This window comes from Homo sapiens, chromosome 14 (genome assembly GCF_000001405.40).
Source record: "Homo sapiens chromosome 14, GRCh38.p14 Primary Assembly".
Lineage (NCBI taxonomy): Eukaryota > Metazoa > Chordata > Mammalia > Primates > Hominidae > Homo > Homo sapiens.
The window spans coordinates 73,589,491-73,610,411 of NC_000014.9; the positions used below are offsets into that span (position 1 = coordinate 73,589,491).

Below are 20,921 nucleotides of genomic sequence, written 5' to 3' on the forward strand. Positions count from 1 at the left end.
TGTATTGTTAGTGGAGGCGGGTTTCACCATGTTGGACAGGCTCGTCTAGATCTCCCAACCTCAAGCGATCCGCCCAACTCGGCCTCCCACAGCACTGAGATTACAAGTGTGTGCCCCTGTGCCTAGCCTACCTTATATTTCATCAAAAAGCTTTTTTTAAGTAAACTGACATGTATGGCCAGGCACGGCAGGTAGCTCCCACCTATAATCCTGGTGTTTCCAGACTGGTCTTGGTCTCACTGACTTCAACAACGAAGCCACAGACCCTCGCGGAGATGTTACAGTTCTTAAAGGCAGCGTGTCTGGAGATTGTACCTTCTGATGTTCCCATGTGCTCAGAGTTTGTTCCTTCTGGTGGGTTCGTGGTCTTGCTGGCTCAGAAGTGAAGCTGCAAACCTTTGCGGTGAGTGTTACAGCTCTTAAGGCGGCATGTCTGGAGTTGTTCGTTCCTCCTGGTGAGTTCGTGGTCTGGTAGGCTTCAGAAGTGAAGCTGCGGACCTTCGCAATGAGTGTTACAGCTCACAACAGCAGTGCGGGCCCAAAAACTGAGCTACCTTTATTACAAAACTAAATAGAACAAACCTTCCCGCAACGTAGAAAAGAACCCCAACAAGTTGCCACTGCTAGCTCTGGCAGCCTGCTTTTATTCCCTTATCTGGCCCCACCCACATCCTGCTGATTGGCCCATTTTACAGAGAGCCGATTGGTCCGTTTTGACAGGGTGCTGATTGGTTCGTTTACAATCCCTGAGCTAGACACAAAAGTTCTCCACCTCCCCACTAGATTAGCTAGATACAGAGTGCCGATTGGTGTATTCACAAACCCTGAGCTAGACACAGGGTGCTGATTGGTGTGTTTACAATCCCTTAGCTAGACATAAAGATTCTCCAAGTCCCCACCAGACTCAGGAGTCCAGCTGGCTTCACCCAGTGGATGCCGCACGGGGTTCGCAGGTGGAGCTGCCTGCCAGTCCCGCGCCGTGCGCCCGCACTTCTCAGCCCTTGGGCGGTCGATGGGACTGGGCGTTAGTGGAGCAGGGAGCGGAGCTCGTTGAGGAGGCTCGGACCGCGCAGAAGCTCACGGCGGGGGCGGGGGCTCAGGCATGGCGGGCTGCAGGTCCCGAGCCCTGCGCCGCGGGGAGGCAGCTAAGGCCCGCTGAGAAATCGAGCACAGCAGCTGCTGCCCCAGGTGCTAAGCCCCTCACTGCCCGGGGCTTGCGGGCCGGCCGGCCGCTCCAAGTGCGGGGCCGCCGAGCCCACGCCCACCCGGGACTCGCGCTGGCCCGCAAGCCCCGCGGGCAGCCCCGGTTCCCGCCCGCGCCTCTCCCTCCACACCTCCCAGTAAGCTGAGGGAGCCGACTCCGGCCTTGGCCAGCCCAGAAAGGGGCTCCCACAGTGCAGCGGCGGGCTGAAGGGCTCCTCAAGCGCGGCCAGAGTGGGCGCCAAGGCCGAGGAGGCGCCGACAGCGAGCGAGGGCAGCCAGCATGCTGTCACGTATCACTAGCACTTTGGGACTACAGAGGCAGGAGGATAGTTTGTGCTCAGGAGTTCGAGACCAGCCTGGGAAACAGGGTGACACCTCCTCTCTAAAAATAAACATTTAAAAATTAACGTGGCATGGTGGTGCGCTGTCTGTAGTCACAGCTACTCCGAAGGCTGAGACAGGAGGATCACTTGAGCCTGGGAGGTGGAGGCTGCAGTGACCTGTGATCGAGCCACCGCCTTGCAGCCTGGATGACAGAGAGAGACCCTGTCTCAAATACAACAAAAAAGCAGGCCGGGCGCAGCGGCTCACGCCTGTAATCCCTAGCACTTTGGGAGGCCAAGGCGGGAAGATCACTTGAAGTCAGGAGTTCAAGACCAGCCTGGCCAACATGGTGTAACTCCCTCTTTACTAAAAATACAAAAATTAGCGGCATGGTGGCGCGCGCCTGTAATCCCAGGTACTCGGGAGGCTGAGGCAGGAGAATCGCTTGAACCCAGGAGGCGGAGATTGCAGTGAGCCGAAGCGCCACTGCACTCCAGCCTGGGCGACAGAGGAGACTCTGTTTCAAAAAAAAAAAAAGTTAAAAACAAAACCTTCCATGGAGCCCATGAAAGGCTGGAATTTGGCTTGATCTCATTGGCTTTTGGTTTCACCACAAATTGATCATCCAACAACTTTCATTCCAACAACCGAGGGTGGTGTGAGGCAGAGAGGCTTTCTACGGGGTGGGTTGGGCGCCACACCTTGCGCGCCCCGGGGCCCAAGGAGACGACCCTGAAGAGGAGCCTGGCTACTTTTGCCTCAGACGAGTCCGGAGCGCCGGGTTAACCGGTCTGAAGTCCCAGGGGCTTTCTGGGACTGCTCAGCCACCGGCAGCTTCCGGCACCAGGGGACGCCGGACGCCGTCCGGACATTCGGCGCGCTTGCCACGATCTTGGACGGGTCTCGGGCCTCGACCTTTGAATTCCCCGCTCCGGCTCCAAGATGTCAGCAACGCTGATCCTGGAGCCCCCAGGCCGCTGCTGCTGGAACGAGCCGGTGCGCATTGCCGTGCGCGGCCTGGCCCCGGAGCAGCGGGTTACGCTGCGCGCGTCCCTGCGCGACGAGAAGGGCGCGCTCTTCCGGGCCCACGCGCGCTACTGCGCCGACGCCCGCGGCGAGCTGGACCTGGAGCGCGCACCCGCGCTGGGCGGCAGCTTCGCGGGACTCGAGCCCATGGGGCTGCTCTGGGCCCTGGAACCCGAGAAGCCTTTTTGGCGCTTCCTGAAGCGGGACGTACAGATTCCTTTTGTCGTGGAGTTGGAGGTGCTGGACGGCCACGACCCCGAGCCTGGACGGCTGCTGTGCCAGGCGCAGCACGAGCGCCACTTCCTCCCGCCAGGGGTGCGGCGCCAGTCGGTGCGAGCGGGCCGGGTGCGCGCCACGCTCTTCCTGCCGCCAGGTGAGCCAGGCTGCTGGCGGGTGGTGTGAGCGTCAGTGGCCTGAGTCTCCGTTTGTTTCCAGTGCTGATTTAGCACTGGTTTGGTTTTGGAGCAAGATCAGAGAAGCTAACATTGACTATGTCAGTGGCCACTCTACCAAAATAGAGGGTTTGGTACCGGGCGTGGTGACTAACGCCTGTAATCCCAGCACTTTGGGAGGCCGAGATGGGCGGATCACTTGAGATCAGGAGTTTGAGACCAGACTGGCCAGCATGGTGAAACGCTGACTCTACCGAAAATACAAAAATTAGTCCAGCCTGGTGGCACACGCCTGTAGTCCCAGCCACTCGGGAGGCTGAGGCACGAGAATCGCTTGAACCTGGGAGATGGAGGTTGCAGTGAGCCGAGATCGCACCACTGCACTCCAGCCTGGGTGACAGAGCGAGACTCCGTCTCAAAAAAAGAAAAAAGAAAAAAAAGGATTTTTTGTTAGGCTGTGTACTACGGTTTTTACTTGCATTCTATCAGTTAGTCTCTATAATATCCCAATGAAGTTGGTATTGTTATTCTGCAGATGAAAAAACAGGTTCAGGTCGTCAGGTACATTATCCACTTTGCTATTAATCACTACCCTACAGATTTCTACAGGCATCAGCCTGACTTGTCTAAGGCAGAATGATGACAGTGAATGAAGCTATTACCATGTCGTCTTCTCTAGTGTTCTAGGCACACTGTCTCTTCTCCACTTCTTCATGTGCTGCTTTATCACAGGTCACACTTCAGACTCCACTGCCTTTCTCACCTAAAACCATCTCTGGGTATTTCTTTTTCTTTCCTCCCTTTCTACATAGACATCTGAAATATCAGTACACTAAAAACCAGAGGGCTGATGCAACAGAACATAAAGTTTTGTTTCAATCTTTTTTCTTTTCTTTCTTTCTTTTTTTTTTTTTTTTTTTTGAGACAGTGTCTGTCTCTGTTGCCCACGCTGGAGTGCAGTGGTGTGGTCACACCTCACTGCAGCCTTGACCTCTGGGGCTCAAGTGATCCTCCCTCCATTGCCTCCCAAGTAGCTAGGACTACAGGCATACACCACCACACTGACTAATTAAAAAAAAAAAAAGATTGTAGAGATGGGGTCTCACTACATTGTCCAGGCTGGTCTTGAACTCCTGGCCTCAAGCAATCCTCCTGCCTTGGCCTCCTAAAGTGCTGAGATTACAAGCATGAACCACAGTGTCCAGCCAGGAAAGCAAATTCTTTAAATTGTATAATGGCTTACATTTATAATATTTTGTTCTCTAGGACCTGGACCCTTCCCAGGGATCATTGACATCTTTGGTATTGGAGGGGGCCTCTTGGAATATCGAGCCAGCCTCCTTGCTGGCCATGGCTTTGCCACGTTGGCTCTAGCTTATTATAACTTTGAAGATCTCCCCAATAACATGGACAACATATCCCTGGAGTACTTCGAAGAAGCCGTATGCTACATGCTTCAACATCCCCAGGTTCTCCTCATGTCCTTTATTTAATCAGTCTCTCTAGAAATATTTCCATAGAGAGTGTAACCTTTACCACGTGCAGAAATGCTGCTCTGTTCCTCTTTCACAAAGATGTCTTCTGGAGACTTCCTTGGCTTAAGGTGCTATTTCCACTTTTTCTGTCAGATGAATTTGTGATATAGAATTAATTGTAAAATCCACATGAGATTTTATTTAGTAATATTAAATATTATCTGTATATTGCAAATTGAATTTCTAATCTACTGTCTTTGCATGCTTGTTTTTAAATTTTAATTTCCTGGTGTCAGAGTATGTTCTCAGATTTTGGTCAGAACTTGTCCACCCCTTTCAGAAGCCAAGAACAAACTTACTTACTCTGAAGTCTTGCTTTGTAATCATTTGCCAATACATATGGCAAATGATCTGATGAATGATTCACATCTTGAAACAACCTGGTTCCACACTATTGGATGCATTGCCACATGAAGACTTCAGTCAGACCTACCTGAATGTGGCCCTGAACTTGATGGGATCTGTGGCTCAGCGGCTCAGCGGCTCAGCATTCTCTAGTGGATAATTCTCTGAAATGCTTATAACCAGTTTCCAAGTTTTTCAGTGATTTTAAGATGTGTTTGCCATGTGTTCAGCCAGATATTCTGCACATGGGAAGAAACTCCCCTGTCAGCTGAGGTTGATTTTCTTGTGGATGATTCCCAGATTAAAGCTAGCAGCATCTCTGTTTGCATTTTAGAAAAATGTTTTTGCATTGGATAAGTTATTTATTTATTTATTTATTTATTTATTTATTTATTTATCTTTTGAGACGGAGTCTCGCTTTGTCACCCAAGCTGGAGCGCAGTGGCGCAATCTCGGCTCACTGCAACCTCCGCCTCCTGGGCTCAAGCAATTCTCCTGCCTCAGCCTCCCAGGTAACTGGGATTAGAGGCGTGCGCCACCACACTCGGCTAATTTTTTTTTGTATTTTTAATAGAGACAGGGTTCTGCCATGTTGGCCAGGCTGGTCTCAAACTCCTGACCTCAAGTGATCCGCCCGCCTCCGCCTCGCAGAGTGTTGGGATTACAGGCATGAGCCACCGCACCCAATCTGGATAAGTTATTGACTCAACTCTCCTCTCTTCTTTTCTTCCAGGTAAAAGGCCCAGGCATTGGGCTTTTGGGCATTTCTCTAGGAGCTGATATTTGTCTCTCAATGGCCTCATTCTTGAAGAATGTCTCAGCCACAGTTTCCATCAATGGATCTGGGATCAGTGGGAACACAGCCATCAACTATAAGCACAGTAGCATTCCACCATTGGGCTATGACCTGAGGAGAATCAAGGTAGCTTTCTCAGGCCTCGTGGACATTGTGGATATAAGGAATGCTCTCGTAGGAGGGTACAAGAACCCCAGCATGATTCCAATAGAGAAGGCCCAGGGGCCCATCCTGCTCATTGTTGGTCAGGATGACCATAACTGGAGAAGTGAGTTGTATGCCCAAACAGTCTCTGAACGGTTACAGGCCCATGGAAAGGAAAAACCCCAGATCATCTGTTACCCTGGGACTGGGCATTACATCGAGCCTCCTTACTTCCCCCTGTGCCCAGCTTCCCTTCACAGATTACTGAACAAACATGTTATATGGGGTGGGGAGCCCAGGGCTCATTCTAAGGCCCAGGAAGATGCCTGGAAGCAAATTCTAGCCTTCTTCTGCAAACACCTGGGAGGTACCCAGAAAACAGCTGTCCCTAAATTGTAATGCATTTGTCTGTTGTTGACATGAGAGATTCAAGATCAGATTCTAGTGTTCAGTAACCCTATGTGAATCAGATGTCTCCTGGATAACATTAAAGCCATGTCTTTGTCATTAATGGTGTATTTTACGTAACTTTGTTGAATAAGCTTTGTCGTTAGTTTTACTAATGTAACTTGCTTGTTGTAGAAGATTAAGAGGCATATGACACATATAAGTGAAAAACATTCCCACCAGTTAACATTTGTGTTTCCTTCTAGATTTTTTTAGTTAATGTTTTGAGTCACAGGTGAGCTTTAAAGCTGGTGACTTTTTCCATCACTATGAAAGAATGGTCACTTAATGTTTGCTGTTCAACCATCAGTAGCAGGGTAGAATTTTCTTTGGCCAGAAACATACAGAGGGGTGTTAATATGAGGAAAGGCAGCTGACCTTTTCATTATAAACGTGAGAGAAGACTCTTTTGACAGGAGGAGATGAGACCTGTCTCTAGAATAGTTAAGTCTGTACTCTCTTCCAAGGGTGAATTACTACGATCTATTTTCCCTCTCACTTCCTCTCTAAGAGCAGACCCTGGGGCCGAGTACAGTGGCTCACACCTGTAATCCCAGTACTTTGGGAAGTCAAGGGGGGCATATTGCTTGAGCTCAGGATTTCATGACCAGCTTAGGCAACATGGCAAAACCCAATCCCTACAAAAATTAGCCAAACATGGTACACACCTGTAGTCCCAGCTACTCGAGACTCAGATGGGACGATTGCTTGAGCCCGGGAGGTCAAGATTGGTGCAGTGAGCCGTGATTGCACCACTGCACTCCAGCCCAGGTAACACAGCGAGACCCCGTTTCAAAAGAAAAAAAAAGAATAGAACTTGGAAAATCGTACTGTGGTAACCCTAGAGGAATCACTCCTTTGTCTCCTTGACATTGACACTACATAGCATTTATTATTATTATTATTATTATTTTTTGAGACAGAGTCACTCTGTTGCCCAGGCTGGAGTGCAGTGGCATGATCTCAGCTCACTGCAACCTCTGCCTCCTGGGTTCAAGCGATTCTCCTGCCTCAGCCTCCCGAGTAGCTGGGATTACAGGCATGTGCCACCATGCCCGGCTAATTTTTGTATTTTTAGTAGAGACAGGGTTTCACTATGTTGGCCAGGCTGGTCTTGAACTCCTGATGTCAAGTGATCCACCTGCCTCGGTCTCCCAAATTGCTGGGATTACAGGCATGAGCCACCGCGCCCAGCTTACATAGCATTTATTAATATAAGCGTATTTGAAAAGATAATGGCTGAGAAATTTCCAAAACTGATGTCAAAGACATCAAGCCACATATTCAAGAAGAATTGTAAATGCCAGGCAGAATAAATACAAAGAAAAACTACGCTTATCACAGTAAAACTGTTTATGGTAATTTTATTTTATTTATTTATTTATTTATTTATTTTTTTGAGATAGAGTCTGGCTCTGTCACCCAGGCTGGAGTGCAATGGCGCAATCTCAGCTCACTGCAAGCTCCGCCTCCCAGGTTCATGCCATTCTCCCTGCCTCAGCCTCCCAAGTAGCTGGGACTACAGGTGCCCGCCACCACGCCTGGCTAATTTTTTGTATTTTTAGTAGAGACAGGGTTTCGCCATGTTAGCCAGGATGGTCTCGATCTCCTGACCTCGTGATCCACCCGCCTCGGCCTCCCAAAGTGCTGGGATTACAGGCGTGAGCCACCATGCCCGGCCATTATTTATTTATTTATTTGAGACAGAGTCTTGCTGTGTTGGCCAGGCTGGGGTGCAGTGGCACGATCTCAGCTCACTGCAACCTCTGTCTCCCGGGTTCAAGTGATCCTCCTGCCTCAGCCTCCCAAGTAGCTCAGACTATAGGCATGTGCCAGCACGCCCAGCTAATTTTTGTATTTCTTTTTCTTTTTTTTTCTTTTTTCTTTTCTTTTTTTTTTTTTTTTTTTTGAGAAGGAGTCTTGCTCTGTAGCCCAGGCTGGAGTGCAATAGCACAATCTCGGCTCACCACAACCTCTGCCTCCCAGGTTCAAGCAATTCTTCTGCCTCAGCCTCTCGAGTAGCTGGGACTACAGGTACCTGCCACCATGCCTGGCTAATTTTTGTATTTTTAGTAGAGACAGGGTTTTACCATATTGGCCAGGCTGGTCTCAAATCCCTGACCTTGTGATCCATCTGCCTCGGCTTCCCAAAGTGCTGGGATTACAGGCATTAGCCACCGCGCCTGGCCTTTTATTTCTTTTGTAGAGATGGGGTTTCGCCATATTGGCCAGGCTGGTCTTTAACTCCTGACCTCAAGTGATCCACCTGCCTCAGCCTCCCAAAGTACTGGGATTACAGGTGTGAGCCACTGCACCAGGCTTGTTTATGGTAATTTTAAAACATAGCTGTAAATTCATTGGCATTTCCCTCATCAAAAGATGGGAGACCTGCCGGGTGCAGTGGCTCATGCCTGTAATCCCAGCACTTTGGGAGGCCGAGGTGGGCGGATCATGAGGTCAGGAGATCAAGACCATCCTGGTTAACATGGTGAAACCCCGTCTCTACTAAAAATACAAAAAAAAAAAAAAAAAAAAAACATAGCCGGGTGTGGTGGCAGGCGCCTGTAGTCCCAGCTACTTGGGAGGCCGAGGCAGGAGAATGGTGTGAACCCGGGAGGCAGAACTTGCAGTGAGCCGAGATCATGCCACTGCACTCCAGCCTGGGCGACAGAGCAAGACTCCGTCTCAAAAAAAAAAAAAAAAGAGAGAGATGGGAGACCTATGTCCCCTTCCTTCAAATCTGGATGAACTTGTGACTGTTTCAGTCACTAGAGTAGAGCGGCAGTGACTTTGCAGGCGAGGTCATAGAACGCCGTGAGGATTCTACCGTGTTTGCCAGGAACACCTGCCTTTGGAGCTTGAGCCACTATGTAAGAAGTTTGGGACAGGCGCTGTGGCTCATGCCTGTAATCCCAGCACTTTGAGAGGCTGAGGCAGGCAGATCACCTGAGGTCTAGAGTTTGAGACCAGCCTGATCAACATGGTGAAACCCCATCTCTACTAAAAATACAAAAATTAGGCCAGGCATTGTGGCTTACACCTGTAATCCCAGCACTTCGAGAGGCCAAAGCAGGCGGATCACCTGAGGTCGGGAGTTCGAGACCAGCCTAACCAACATGGTGAAACCCCATCTCTACTAAAAATACAAAAAAGTAGCCAGGTGTGGTGTTGGGTGCCTGTAATCTCAGCTACTCAGGAGGCTGAGGCAGGAGAATCTCCCAAACCTGAGAGGCAGAGGTTGCAATGAGTCAAGATCACACCACTGCACTCCAGCCTGGGCAACACAGCGAGACTGTCTCAAAAAAAAAACAAAAAGAAGTTTGACTACCTTGAGGATGTGATGCTGTGATGCTGTGATGAAGCTTAAAATACATGTATAAGCCAACCACAGGCACTCCTGTGACAGTCCCAACTGTGGTCAGCGTCTCAGTTATCTCAGCCCAAGTGCCAGACATGTGAGTGAAAAACACCTCCAGATCATCCTAGCCCCCAGCCATTTAAATCTCGGTGGAGACTTCACATAACCTCCACTGAGCAGTGATGTCCCTCTCAAGCCCTGTCCAAACTGCAGATTTGTGAGCAAAATAGATTGTTTTTGTTTTATGTGACTATGTTTTCAGGTGTGTTTCAGTTATCTATTGTTGTGTAGCAAACCACCCTAAAACAGCAGCTTAAAACACTAACCATGTATTTTTCTCAAGAGTCTGCAAATGGGACAGGACTGGGTAGGAATGGATCACCACTGTTCGAAGTGACACGGGCTGCGGTAATTTGACTGAGGGGTTGAAACTCAGCCCAAGTAATTAGCAAGAAGGCCCAGATGGAGAGAAATTGAGAACCCCCTAAATCATATCCCTTCCTGAGTTCCCAATTGACAGCCAGCACCAACCTCCCTGCCATAAAAGTAGAGTCTCCAAGAGAGCCTAGCAAGCCTAGCAAGCAATTCTGCATGACCTTTGTTCAGCTTTGTCTTGGAAGCTATTATACATACTATCACTCTCCCATGCTCTATTGAACAAGGCAGTCAAAGGCTAACCAAAGTTCAAGGAGAGCATAGTCTGCCTCTTGAAAGGAGAGTGGCAAGGTTCTGGAGAAGAGCATGTGGAATGGGAAATAATTGTAACCATCTTTGGCAAATACAGTCTGCCTTCTGGCCATACATTCCTCCACATGTAAAATAACACCCATTCCTCTTCTATACCCTCTCCCCCAAAAATCTCATTTCATTATAGCATCGCACTCAGGCTGAAGGTCCAATATTTCATCATCTATATCAGATCCAGGTATAGATGAGGCTCAGAACAGTCCCTTGGGTATAGCTCCTTGAATATCCTTCTTCTCAATCTGAACGGCTTTGAAACAAACAAGTTAGCTATCCTCACAGATGCATGTCCATAATACAATGGTGGGAGAAGTATAAGATAACTCCTATAGACAGTCCTGTTCAAAAATGGGGAAAATGTGGCACACAGCTGTCACTAGCCTGTAGCAACTCTGAAACACACCGGAGAACACGCTGCCAATTCCTTCATTAGTGTTCAATTTACTCTCTGTGAGTTGTTCTCTGTAGCTTTTGGTTCTACCTCCTGAGTTGAAACCTTTATTTTCCATAAGAAAATGAGTTAGCAATTAAATTTAACCTGCCTCCTAGATGGAAAAGGGGAGTTCAAAGTTCTCTTTTAATTTTGTATTCTCTGCCTTTTAAGTTCCAGCTCATAGTGGAACTGGAATTATTCTTCAGCCAGAACAATTTTCTTTTTTTTTCCAAGACGGAGTTTTGCTCTTGTTTCCCAGGCTGGAGTGCAATGGCGTGATCTCAGCTCACTACAACTTCTGCCTCTTGGGTTCAAGCAATTCTCCTGCCTCAGCCTCCCAAGTAGCTGGGATTACAGGCACCCACCACCACACCCGGCTAATTTGTTATGTTTAGTAGAGACAGGGTTTCACCATGTCGGCCAATCTGGTCTCAAACTCCTGACCTCAGGTGATCCACCTGCCTAGGCCTCCTAAAATGCTGGGATTACAGGCATGAGCCACCACGCCCAGCCAGCCAGAACAATTTTCTTAAAAACTTTGTGGGGTTTTCTAAAAATCTCAGTGGGTTTCACTCCACTAGACAAAATACACCTCTAGATATCTGTTTAAGAACTTCTCGGCCAGGCGTGCTGGCTCACGCCTGTAGTCCCAGCACTTTGAGAGGCCAAGGCGGGCGGATCACCTGAGAGGTCAGGAGTTCGAGACCAGCCCGGCCAACATGGCGAAACCCCATCTCTACTAAAAATACAAAAATTAGCCAGGTGTGGTGGTGCGTGCCTGTAATCCCAGCTACTCAGGAGGCTGAGGCAGGAGAATTGCTTGAACCCAGGAGATGGAAATTGCAGTAAGCCGAGATTGTACCACTGCACTCCAGCCTGGATGACAGAGTGAGACTCTGTCTCCAAAAAAAAGAAAATGACAATTAAATGAAATATTTTTGTAAGTGTTTAAATGACCCATCAGGTAAATGTACCTGAAGCTTTGACTGTCTTCCCAAAAATATGGATTTGACAAACCAAACATTGGTTATAAACTACTTTAGCAGGTCAGTGTGGTGGCTCATGCCTGTAATCCCAGCACTTTGGGAGGCTGAGGCGGACAGATCACTTGAGGTCAGGAGTTCGAGACCAGCTTGGCCAACGTGGTGAAACCCTATCTCTACTAAAAATACAAAAATTAGCTGGGCATGGTGGCGCACGCCTGTAATCCCCACAACTTGGGAGGCTAAAACAGGAGAATTGCTGGAACCTGGGAGGCGGAGATTGCAGTGAGCTGAGATCGCGCCACTGCATTCCAGCCTGGGCAACAGAGTGAGACTCTGTCTCAAAAAAGAACTACTTTAGCAATTTATAAGTCAGCAAACCAATATGTATTTAAATTGGATCATTTTGTCTTTTCCATGATGAGTCATAGAAACCATAACCTTTAATAACAAAACCTTTAGGGACTCAGGAAAGACAAGGCAGCCATCCTGGTTCTCCATGAGTCCATGCTTAACATTGGACTTATGTCCTCTTGAATACCAGTTATTTCTCTAATTTAGGTGCATAGCACTGATAACCAATGGGTTTTTACAGATAATTTATCTTAGACCATGGAATTCAAATGATTTTAAATAGTAATAGTTAAAACACTTCTGACAAGGAGAGCTGGTTATTTCTGTGGTCTACAATAACAACATAATTATGCTTTTTTTTTTTTAATCTTATTTCATTTTTTTGAGACGGAGTCTAAATCTGTTGCCCAGGCTGGAGTGCAGTGGTGTAATCTCGGCTCACCACAACCTCCACCTCCTGAGTTCAAGCGATTCTCCTGCCTCAGCCTCCTAAGTAGCTGGGACTACAGGCACGGGCCACCGTGCCTGGCTAATTTTCGTATTTTCAGTAGAGACGAGGTTTCACTATGTTGGCCAGGTTGGTCTTGAACTCCTGACCTTGTGATCCGCCCGCCTCGGCCTCCCAAAGTGCTGGGATTACAGGCATGAGCCACTGCACCTGGCCTAACAACATAATTATGTGTTGGGAGCCAAAAAGGTCAAAGGGATCATGACCAACCTAGCATTCCACTGGAGGCTATATGATTTATCATGAATGCAGGATGTGGGCAAACTCGCTTCTGTGCCTGCCCCAGAAGATTTGCTGAGGGCAATCGCTTCCTGGTGCCGAGCTCCTTGAGGTTATTTACTGGGACATCTAGAGAATGCAGTCTTACAAGACTACTGTAGACCAAGCAGCTGGTCCCTTCTTCCACCCCGCTTCTCACTATCTTTTTTGCCTAATAAATACAGAGGGCTGTGTAAAGCTCAGGGCCCTTGTCCACTAGAGGCAAGTTGCCTCCTGACTCCTTCTTCCAAACATATTCTTTTGTCTCTTTATTCCCGCGTTCTCCCCGCTTTGTTCAGTCCCCCAGGGATCCTGGCAGGCTACAATTATGATTGATACCATATACTCAGATGTATTAGAACGTAGAAATTCCATACAATTTTGGAACATATATTAATATCATTCACTAAAATATAACTTGAAGAAGAGTAAATCTTTTTTTTATTTTGACAATGCTTCCCATGTAACTAACCACGTCAAATAATCCTGTTTACCTCTCTTTTAAATGCTTCAGGGGCCCTCTGTAGCATCTCAAATTTAGAGATGAGAAAAGACAATTCTGAGGCTGAAATTTGATTTTGGGAAGCCTGTTAAATATGTTAAAGGTTTACAAAAATGTACATTCCCATGCCTTCTTACAATCTTTTACCAAAAACACATTTTACTCTCCTCACACACCTTGCATGTAAAACTATTTTTAGTAGTCTTAATTGTATGTTACAATGATGACTCTTAGCAATTTTTAATTTTAATGTAAAACCTGGTAACTTATTTTAATTATGTACTAGGTACAAATATGGTCTGACTCTTTCCAGCACAGCTGGGGGCGTGGTTAATTCCATATGTCCCCAGGCCTTACCAAGCTGTAAAGCAGGCAAGTTGAACTATTTTCAAAAGCCAAAGAAGCAGTTTATGACCTTAAATAATTTGGCAAACCTAATATTTGAACGTAATTTAGAACACGTTTACATTTTGAAGACATTTGCATTTTACCAATAATCTGTTTTTTTTGTTTTTTGTTTTTGTTTTTTTTGAGATGGAGTCTTGCTCTGTCGCCAGGCTGGAATGCAGTGGCACATTCTCGGCTCACTGTAACCTCTGCCTTCTGGGTTCAAGTGATTCTCCAGCCTCAGCCTCCCGAGTAGCTGGGACCACAGGCGCATGCTACCATGCCCTGCTAATTTTTGTATTTTTAGTATAGACAGGGTTTCACCATGTTAGCCAGGATGGTCTCGATCTCCTGACCTCATGATCCACCCACCTCAGCCTCCCATATTTTACTAATAATCTTTAAAACTGCTTTTATTTCCCAAAGACTACTAAAGTCACATGAACTAAAAGGCATTATAGTTTTTTTCTTTCAAAACATTTGATCGAAGTGCTTATTTTTCTTTTCTTTTCTTTTTTTTTTTTAGACGGAGTCTTGCTCTGTTGCCAGGTTGGAGTGCAGTGGTGCAATCTTGGCTCACTGCAGCCTCTTCCTCCCAGGTTCAAGCGATTCTTCTGCCTCAGTCTCCTGAGTAACTGGGACTACAGGTGCGCAGCACCACACCCAGCTAATTTTTGTATTTTTAGTAGAGACAGGGTTTCACCATTTTGGCCAGGATGGTCCAGATCTCTTGACCTCATGATGTGCCTGCCTTGGCCTCCCAAAGTGCTGGGATTACAGGTGTGAGCCACCATGGCCGGCAGGTGCTTATTCTTCTTTAAGCCAATTAATCAGAGTCCTTTTATGCAAACATCACACACATAACACATATATACAACTACACAAACAGACAGAAGAAAATCCAGTAGTTGTAAGATTTTTCATTTGCTAATTTCTTTTTTTTTTTTTTTTTTGAGATGGAGTCTCGCTCTATAACCCAGGCTGGACTGCAGTGGCTCAATCTCAGCTCACTGCCACCTCCACTTTCTCGGTTCAAGCAATTCTCCTGCCTCAGCCTCCCAAGTAGCTGGGACTACAGGCGCCTGCCACCATGCCTGGCTAATTTTTGTAATTTTAGTAGAGATAGGGCTTCACCATGTTGGCCAGGCTGGTCTCAAACTCCTGACCTCAAGTCATCCACCCACCTCGGCCTCTGAAAATGCTGGGATTACAGGCATGAGCCACTGCACCTGGCCCAGTTTCTTGTTTTTTTGTTTTGTTTTGTTTTGTTTTCTGAGCTGGAGTCTTGCTCTGTTGCCCAGGCTGGAGTGCAATGGTGTGATCTCAGCTCACTTCAACCTGCGCTTCCCAGATTCAAGTGATTCTGCTGCCTCAACCTCCCAAGTAGCTGGGACTACAGGCATGCGCCACCACACCTGGCTAATTTTTTTGTATTTTTAGTAGAGAAGGGGTTTCAACATGTTGGTCAGGTTGGTCTCGAACTCCTGACCTCAAATGATCCACCAGCCTTGGCCTCCCAAGTGCTGGGATTACAGGCGAGAGCCACCATGCCCAGCTAGCCAGTTTCTTAATTGGATTACTGGCCTCAGGGTGGAGCCCTTCAAGAAACAGGGGCAAGGAAAACATGCAGTTTCTAAGGTCTAATAAGCAGGCACAGCTGGAAGACAAAAACAGATTTTGAGAGGGATCTATCCACTTTTAATTCTTGGGGTTTCATAAGGAAAACAGAGGGTTTCCCAAAACAGGGTCTTGTGGCACCTCCTGTTTTTCCCAATGAGTCCCAGGCTACCAGAAGTTATCTTAGTGCTTCTCATGTGTGCATAAGAGTGGCAAGACAAAACGGAGAAAAATAATTCAGTTAACTGAGAAGAAAAAAAAAAAACCTTTTTCCAGCAAAACAAGATCCAAGAAGAAAAAAAAACATAAGGGCCCTTTAGATATATCTATAGTTTGGATATCCACTTTCAATTAAGCTGACTTTTAACCATAGTGCTCTTTTAAAAAAAGTCCTTTTAAATGTCTTATTACCCGACTCTAGCCATGCAAGATTGAAACTGCCTTTGCAAAATTATGACTGAGACAGTGAAAGAGATCTAACTTAACCGACTCCACCTTGCTTCTAACCTCCAAGCTGTCCTTGTTCATTCCTTGGTGTAGGCTGAACTAACTTTGGGAGGAACTTAGTTTATAGGTTATAGTTTAAAACAAAGATGATAACAGCCCTTTCCCAAAAACAAACCTCCTCGCCTGGGAACTAGACTACTGACATCAACCACAAGATTAGAAATCATGGTTTAGGAATCATGCAGCTGGAGGCTGTAAGATTCTTTTTTTTTTTTTTTTTTTTTTTTTTTTTTTTGAGATGTAGTCTCACTCTGTTGCCCAGGCTAGAGTGCAGTGGTGCAATCTTGGCTCACTGCAACCTCCATCTCCTGGGCTCAAGCAGTTCTCCTACCTCAGCCTCCCAAGTAGCTGGGATTACAGGTGCCTGCCACCATGCCCAGCTAATTTTTGCATTTTTAGTAGAGACAGGGTTTCACCACATTGGCCAGGCTGGTCTTGAATTCCTGACCTCAGGTGATCTACCCACCTTGGCCTCCCAAAGTACTGGGATTACAGGCATGAGCCACAGTGCCTGGCTGGGGGCTACAAGATTCTAACCCTCCCTAAACTGTTCCTAAGATCAGTGCTTGAGATACTTTGCAGACCCTACACTTCAGGGATCAGCTGGCATCACCCAGATCGATTAACCGGCTCATCGGATCTTGTGGCCCCCACCTAGGAACTGACTCAGTGCAAAAGAACAGCTTCAATTCCCTGTGATTTCATCTCCTACCTAACCAATCAGCACTCCCGGCTCACTGGCTTCCCACCACCCACCAAGTTGTCCATAAAAACTGTAATCCTCCCTGACGTCGGGAGTTCAAGACCAGCCTGACCAACATGGAGAAAACCCGTCTCTACTAAAAATACAAAATTATCCAGCCATGATGGTGCATGCCTGTAATCCCAGCTACTCGGGAGGCTGAGGCAGGAGAATCACTTGAACTCAGGAGGTGGAGGTTGCGGTAAGCCGAGATCCTGCCATTGCACTCCAGCCTGGGCAACAAGAATGAAACTCTGTCTCAAAAAGAAACAAACAAACAAAACAAAACAAAAAAAAAAAAAACTGTGATCCTCAAACACTCGGGGAGACTGATTTGAGTAATAATAAAACTCCAGTCTCCCACACAGCTGGCTCTGTGTGAATTACTCTTTCTCTATTGCAAATCTTGAGAAATAGGGTCTATCTAGCAGTGGCCAAGGTGAACCCATTTGGTGGTTACAAAATCAGCTCTCTCTAGGAAGCAGGCAAGGTGAACCCATTGGGTGGTTACAAAACTGCCAATATGTCTGGCTTTTGAGCCTTACCAAAGGTAACCTCCCAGGTGCACAGAGAAAGGAAAATTCAAAATGATTCATGGAGGGGAAGAGAATCAACAAATGGTAAACATCACTCAGATATCAAACCAATCAGGACTCCTTCCCTGAGCCCGGAATTGAACCTAGGCCACTGTGCGAGAGATCACACAGTGATCTTAGCTACTGAGCTACAGCACTGGGCAGTCTTCATTCACCTTCCCAGAAGGAGTCTAGAGTAGTTGATTCTGAGCTTGCAAAGGCTTTTAACTACTCAATAATTTTTAGAGCTAACTATAACATGATCCCCCAAATTTCTGTTCACTGGAAGGTGGAGACCAAGAGGAAGTACCATCTTGTGGTTACAACGTCAAGCTCTCAAGGTCATAAAACAAGATGGAGGCCAGGCACTGTGGCTCACGCCTGTAATCCCAGCACTTTGGGAGGCCGAGGTGGGTGGATCACGAAGCCAGGAATTTGAGACCAGCCTGGCCAACATGGTGAAACCCTGTCTCTACTAAAAATACAAAAATTAGCTGGGTGTCATGGCACGTGCCTATGATCCCAGCTACTCGGGAGGCTGACGCAGGAGAATTGCTTGAACCTGGGAAGCAGAGGTTGCAGTGAGCCAAGATTGCACCACTGCACTCCAGTCTGGGTGACAGAGAGAGACTCAGTCTCAAAAAAATAAAAAAAGAAAGAAATGTCCTGAACTGTACCTTGGCCCCTTTTAGCCAGGGCTGGAGTGGCTGGGACACAGGGCACCAAGTCACAAGGCTGCACACAGCAGGAGGGCTCTGGACCCAGACCAAGAAATCATTTTTCCCTTCTAGGCCTCCAGGCCTGTGATGGGAGGGGCTGCCATGAAGGTCTGTGACATGCCCTGGAGACATTTCCCCATTGTCTTGGTGATTATCATTAGGCTCCTTGTTACTTATGCAAGTCTCTGCAGCCGGCTTGATTTTCTCCCCAGAAAATAGGGTTTTCTTTTCTTTTCTTTCTTTTTTTTTTGGAGGAAGACTTTCGCTCTTGTCACCCAGGCTGGAGTGCAATGGAGCGATCTGGGCTCACTGCAACCTCTGCCTCCTGGGTTCAAGCAATTCTCCTGCCTCAGCCTCCCAAGTAGCTGGGATTACAGGCATGCACCACCACGCCTGGCTAATTTTTGTATTATTAGTAGAGATGGGGTTTCACCATGTTTGCCAGGCTGGTCTCGAACTCCTGAACTCAGGTGATCCACCCACCTCGGCCTCCCAAAGTGCTGGGATTATAGGCATGAGCCACCATGCCCAGCGGGGTTTTCTTTTTTCTTTTGAGATAGAGTCTTGCTCTGTTGCCCAGGCTGAAGTACAGTGGTGCAATCTTGACTCACTGCAAGCTCCGCCTCCTGGGTTCAAGCGATTCGCCTGCCTCAGCCTCCCGAGTAGCTGGGATTACAGGCGCCTGCCACTGTGCCTGCCTAATTTTTGTACTTTTAGTAGAGATGGGGTTTCACCATCTTGGCCAGGCTGATCTTAACCTCCTGACCTTGTGACCCACCTGCCTTGGCCTCCCAAAGTGCTGGGATTACAGGCATGAGCCACTGTGCCCCGCCAGGGTTTTTCTTTTCTATAGCATAGTCAGTCTGCAAATTTTCCAAACTTTTATGCTCTGCTTCCTCTTGAACGCTTTGCTGCTTACATATTTCTTCTGCCAGTTACCCTAAATCATCTCTTTCAAGTTCAAACTTCCACAGATCTCTGGGGCAGGGGCAAAATGCCACCAGCCTCTTTGCATAGCAAGAGTGACCTTTACTTCAGTTCCCAACAAGTTCCCCATCTCCATCTGAGACCACCTCAGCCTGGACTTCATTGTTCATATCACTATCAGCATTTTGGTGAAAGCCATTTAATGAGCCTCTAGGAAGTTCCAAACTTTCTCACATCTTTCTGTCTTCTGAGCCCTCCAAGTCTCTAGGCAGTTCTAAACTTTCCCACGCTTTCCTGTCTTCTTCTGAGCCCTCTAAACGGTGCCAACTGCTGCCTGTTACCCAGTTCCAAAGTCGCTTCCACATTTTTGGGTATCTTTACAGCAGTGCCCCACTCTCTGTGATACTAACTTACTGTATTAGTCTGTTCTCACACTGCTAATAAAGACCTACCTGAGATGGGATAATTTACGAAGGAAAGAGATTTAATTGACTCACAGTTCAGCATGGCTGAGGAGGCCTCAGGAAACTTACAATCATGGCAGAAGGGGAAGCAAACATGTCCTTCACATGGCGGCAACAAAAAGTGCTGAGCAAAAGGGGGAAAGCCTTTATAAAACCATCAGATCGCATGAGAACTCACTCACTATCACCAGAACAGCATGAGACTAACCACCCCCATGATTCAATTTCCTCCCACCAGGTCCCTCCCAGGACATATGGGGATTATGGGAACTATAATTCAAGATGAGATTTGGGTGGGGACACAGCCAAACCATATCAGGTGTAATGCTAACCCTCTGTGTACAGGTTTTGTGAACGATATTGATTGTATGGGGGAGACTGAGCTCATGTCACTATGCCATCAATGAGAATTGGCTGGTGAATACCAATCCTCCATAGCCATGACTGGGTTGCTGAATAAAATGATGCAGTGTGCATCCAAAAGCTGCCTCTTCCTCTGTGGGTGATCTGGGAGTGAGCCAAACATGGGATGGACAATGTCATACCTGGAAAGCTGGCAGATGATGGGATCCTGGACATTGGGCATGCTGGGGGTGCTCCTGCATATCACCCCTGGGTACAAGAAACATCATTGGGCCAGTAGTCTAAAAGTATGCACCATGCTTATTAGGAACCTGCCAGGTCGTGGCTGATTCTAGGTTTAGGTCCTCTATGAAATTTTTGGTACCATATATAGGAGTCAGTGCTCATGAAAAAAATGATAAGAAAACTGTGCCTGATATTGCTGCTTCCAGTGCCACTGCCTTGGCAGCACAGGGACATCCTTCAACTCCCTTGGGAAGGTTGTTCTATTATTTATTTTATTTTATTTTATTTTTGAGACAGAATCTCGCTCTGTTACCCAGGCTGGAATGCAGTGGTGCGATCTCGGCTCACCACAACCTCTGCCTCCCGGGTTCAAGCAATTCTCCTGCCTCAGCCTCCCGAGTAGCTGGGACTACAGGCACGCACCACCATGCCTGGCTAATTTTTGTATTTTTAGTAGAGACGGGGTTTCACCATGTTGGCCAGACTGGTCTCAAACTCCTGACCTCGTGATCCACCCGCCTCAGCCTCCCAAAGTGCTGAGATTACAGGCATGAGCCACCGCGCCTGGCCAGGTTGTTTTAAACAACAGAATTCCTCTACCCTTTTTTTTTTTAGACTAATTGGGAGGAGTGTGTGCCACTGCCAACACCTCCTGGTGTACCTGGATAAACACCTCAGGCATGGTGGAGACATAGGTAGAGGATCTGGAAGCAGGCCTACTGGTTGCAGTCAGAGTGGCTACCTAAAGAATCTTTCTTGGACCTCAAAACTTCTTGCCTGGATCACTAGGACTTGGGGGTAGGCCACAGCTCCAAGCAAGCCTGATCATCCTGCTTATTATAGTAGTCTCCTGGGCCTAATGCAATATATTCCGGCCATGGCTTAACAATGTTGCACCGAGATTGTTTCAGTCAAGTGTCGCTTTTTTTTTTTTTTCTTTTAGAGGGAGTCTTGCTCTGTCGCTCAGGCTGGAGAGCAGTGGCGAGATCTCGGCTCACTGCAATCACCACCTCCCGGGTTCAAGCAATTCTCCTGCCGCCGCC

At 47.4% G+C, this 20,921-nt stretch overlaps 2 protein-coding genes across 2 annotated transcripts in view, besides 2 other annotated features; one reads left to right on the top strand and one right to left on the bottom strand.

Moving 5' to 3' along the window:
• HEATR4 (HEAT repeat containing 4) overlaps positions 1-20,921 on the bottom strand; it is a 155,331-nt gene that overhangs the window by 111,007 nt on the left and 23,403 nt on the right. The gene's annotated exons all lie outside the window — the stretch shown is intronic.
• ACOT4 (acyl-CoA thioesterase 4) lies at positions 2,383-6,276 on the top strand. The gene is made up of 3 exons (NM_152331.4): positions 2,383-2,926; positions 4,212-4,414; positions 5,559-6,276. The coding sequence occupies exons 1-3, from the start codon at positions 2,470-2,472 to the stop codon at positions 6,162-6,164; spliced, it is 1,266 nt and encodes a 421-aa protein (NP_689544.3). The 5' UTR covers positions 2,383-2,469; the 3' UTR covers positions 6,165-6,276.
• Positions 2,617-3,116: an enhancer, noted in NCBI's record as "H3K27ac hESC enhancer chr14:74058811-74059310 (GRCh37/hg19 assembly coordinates)". NCBI's record gives its function as "activates a minimal SCP1, AML or CMV promoter by ChIP-STARR-seq in naive H9 embryonic stem cells {active_cell/tissue: H9 hESC(naive)}" and the evidence as "EXISTENCE:reporter gene assay evidence [ECO:0000049][PMID:30033119]".
• Positions 2,928-2,997: a silencer, noted in NCBI's record as "silent region_5912". NCBI's record gives its function as "represses an Ori minimal core promoter by ATAC-STARR-seq in GM12878 lymphoblastoid cells {active_cell/tissue: GM12878}" and the evidence as "EXISTENCE:reporter gene assay evidence [ECO:0000049][PMID:35858748]".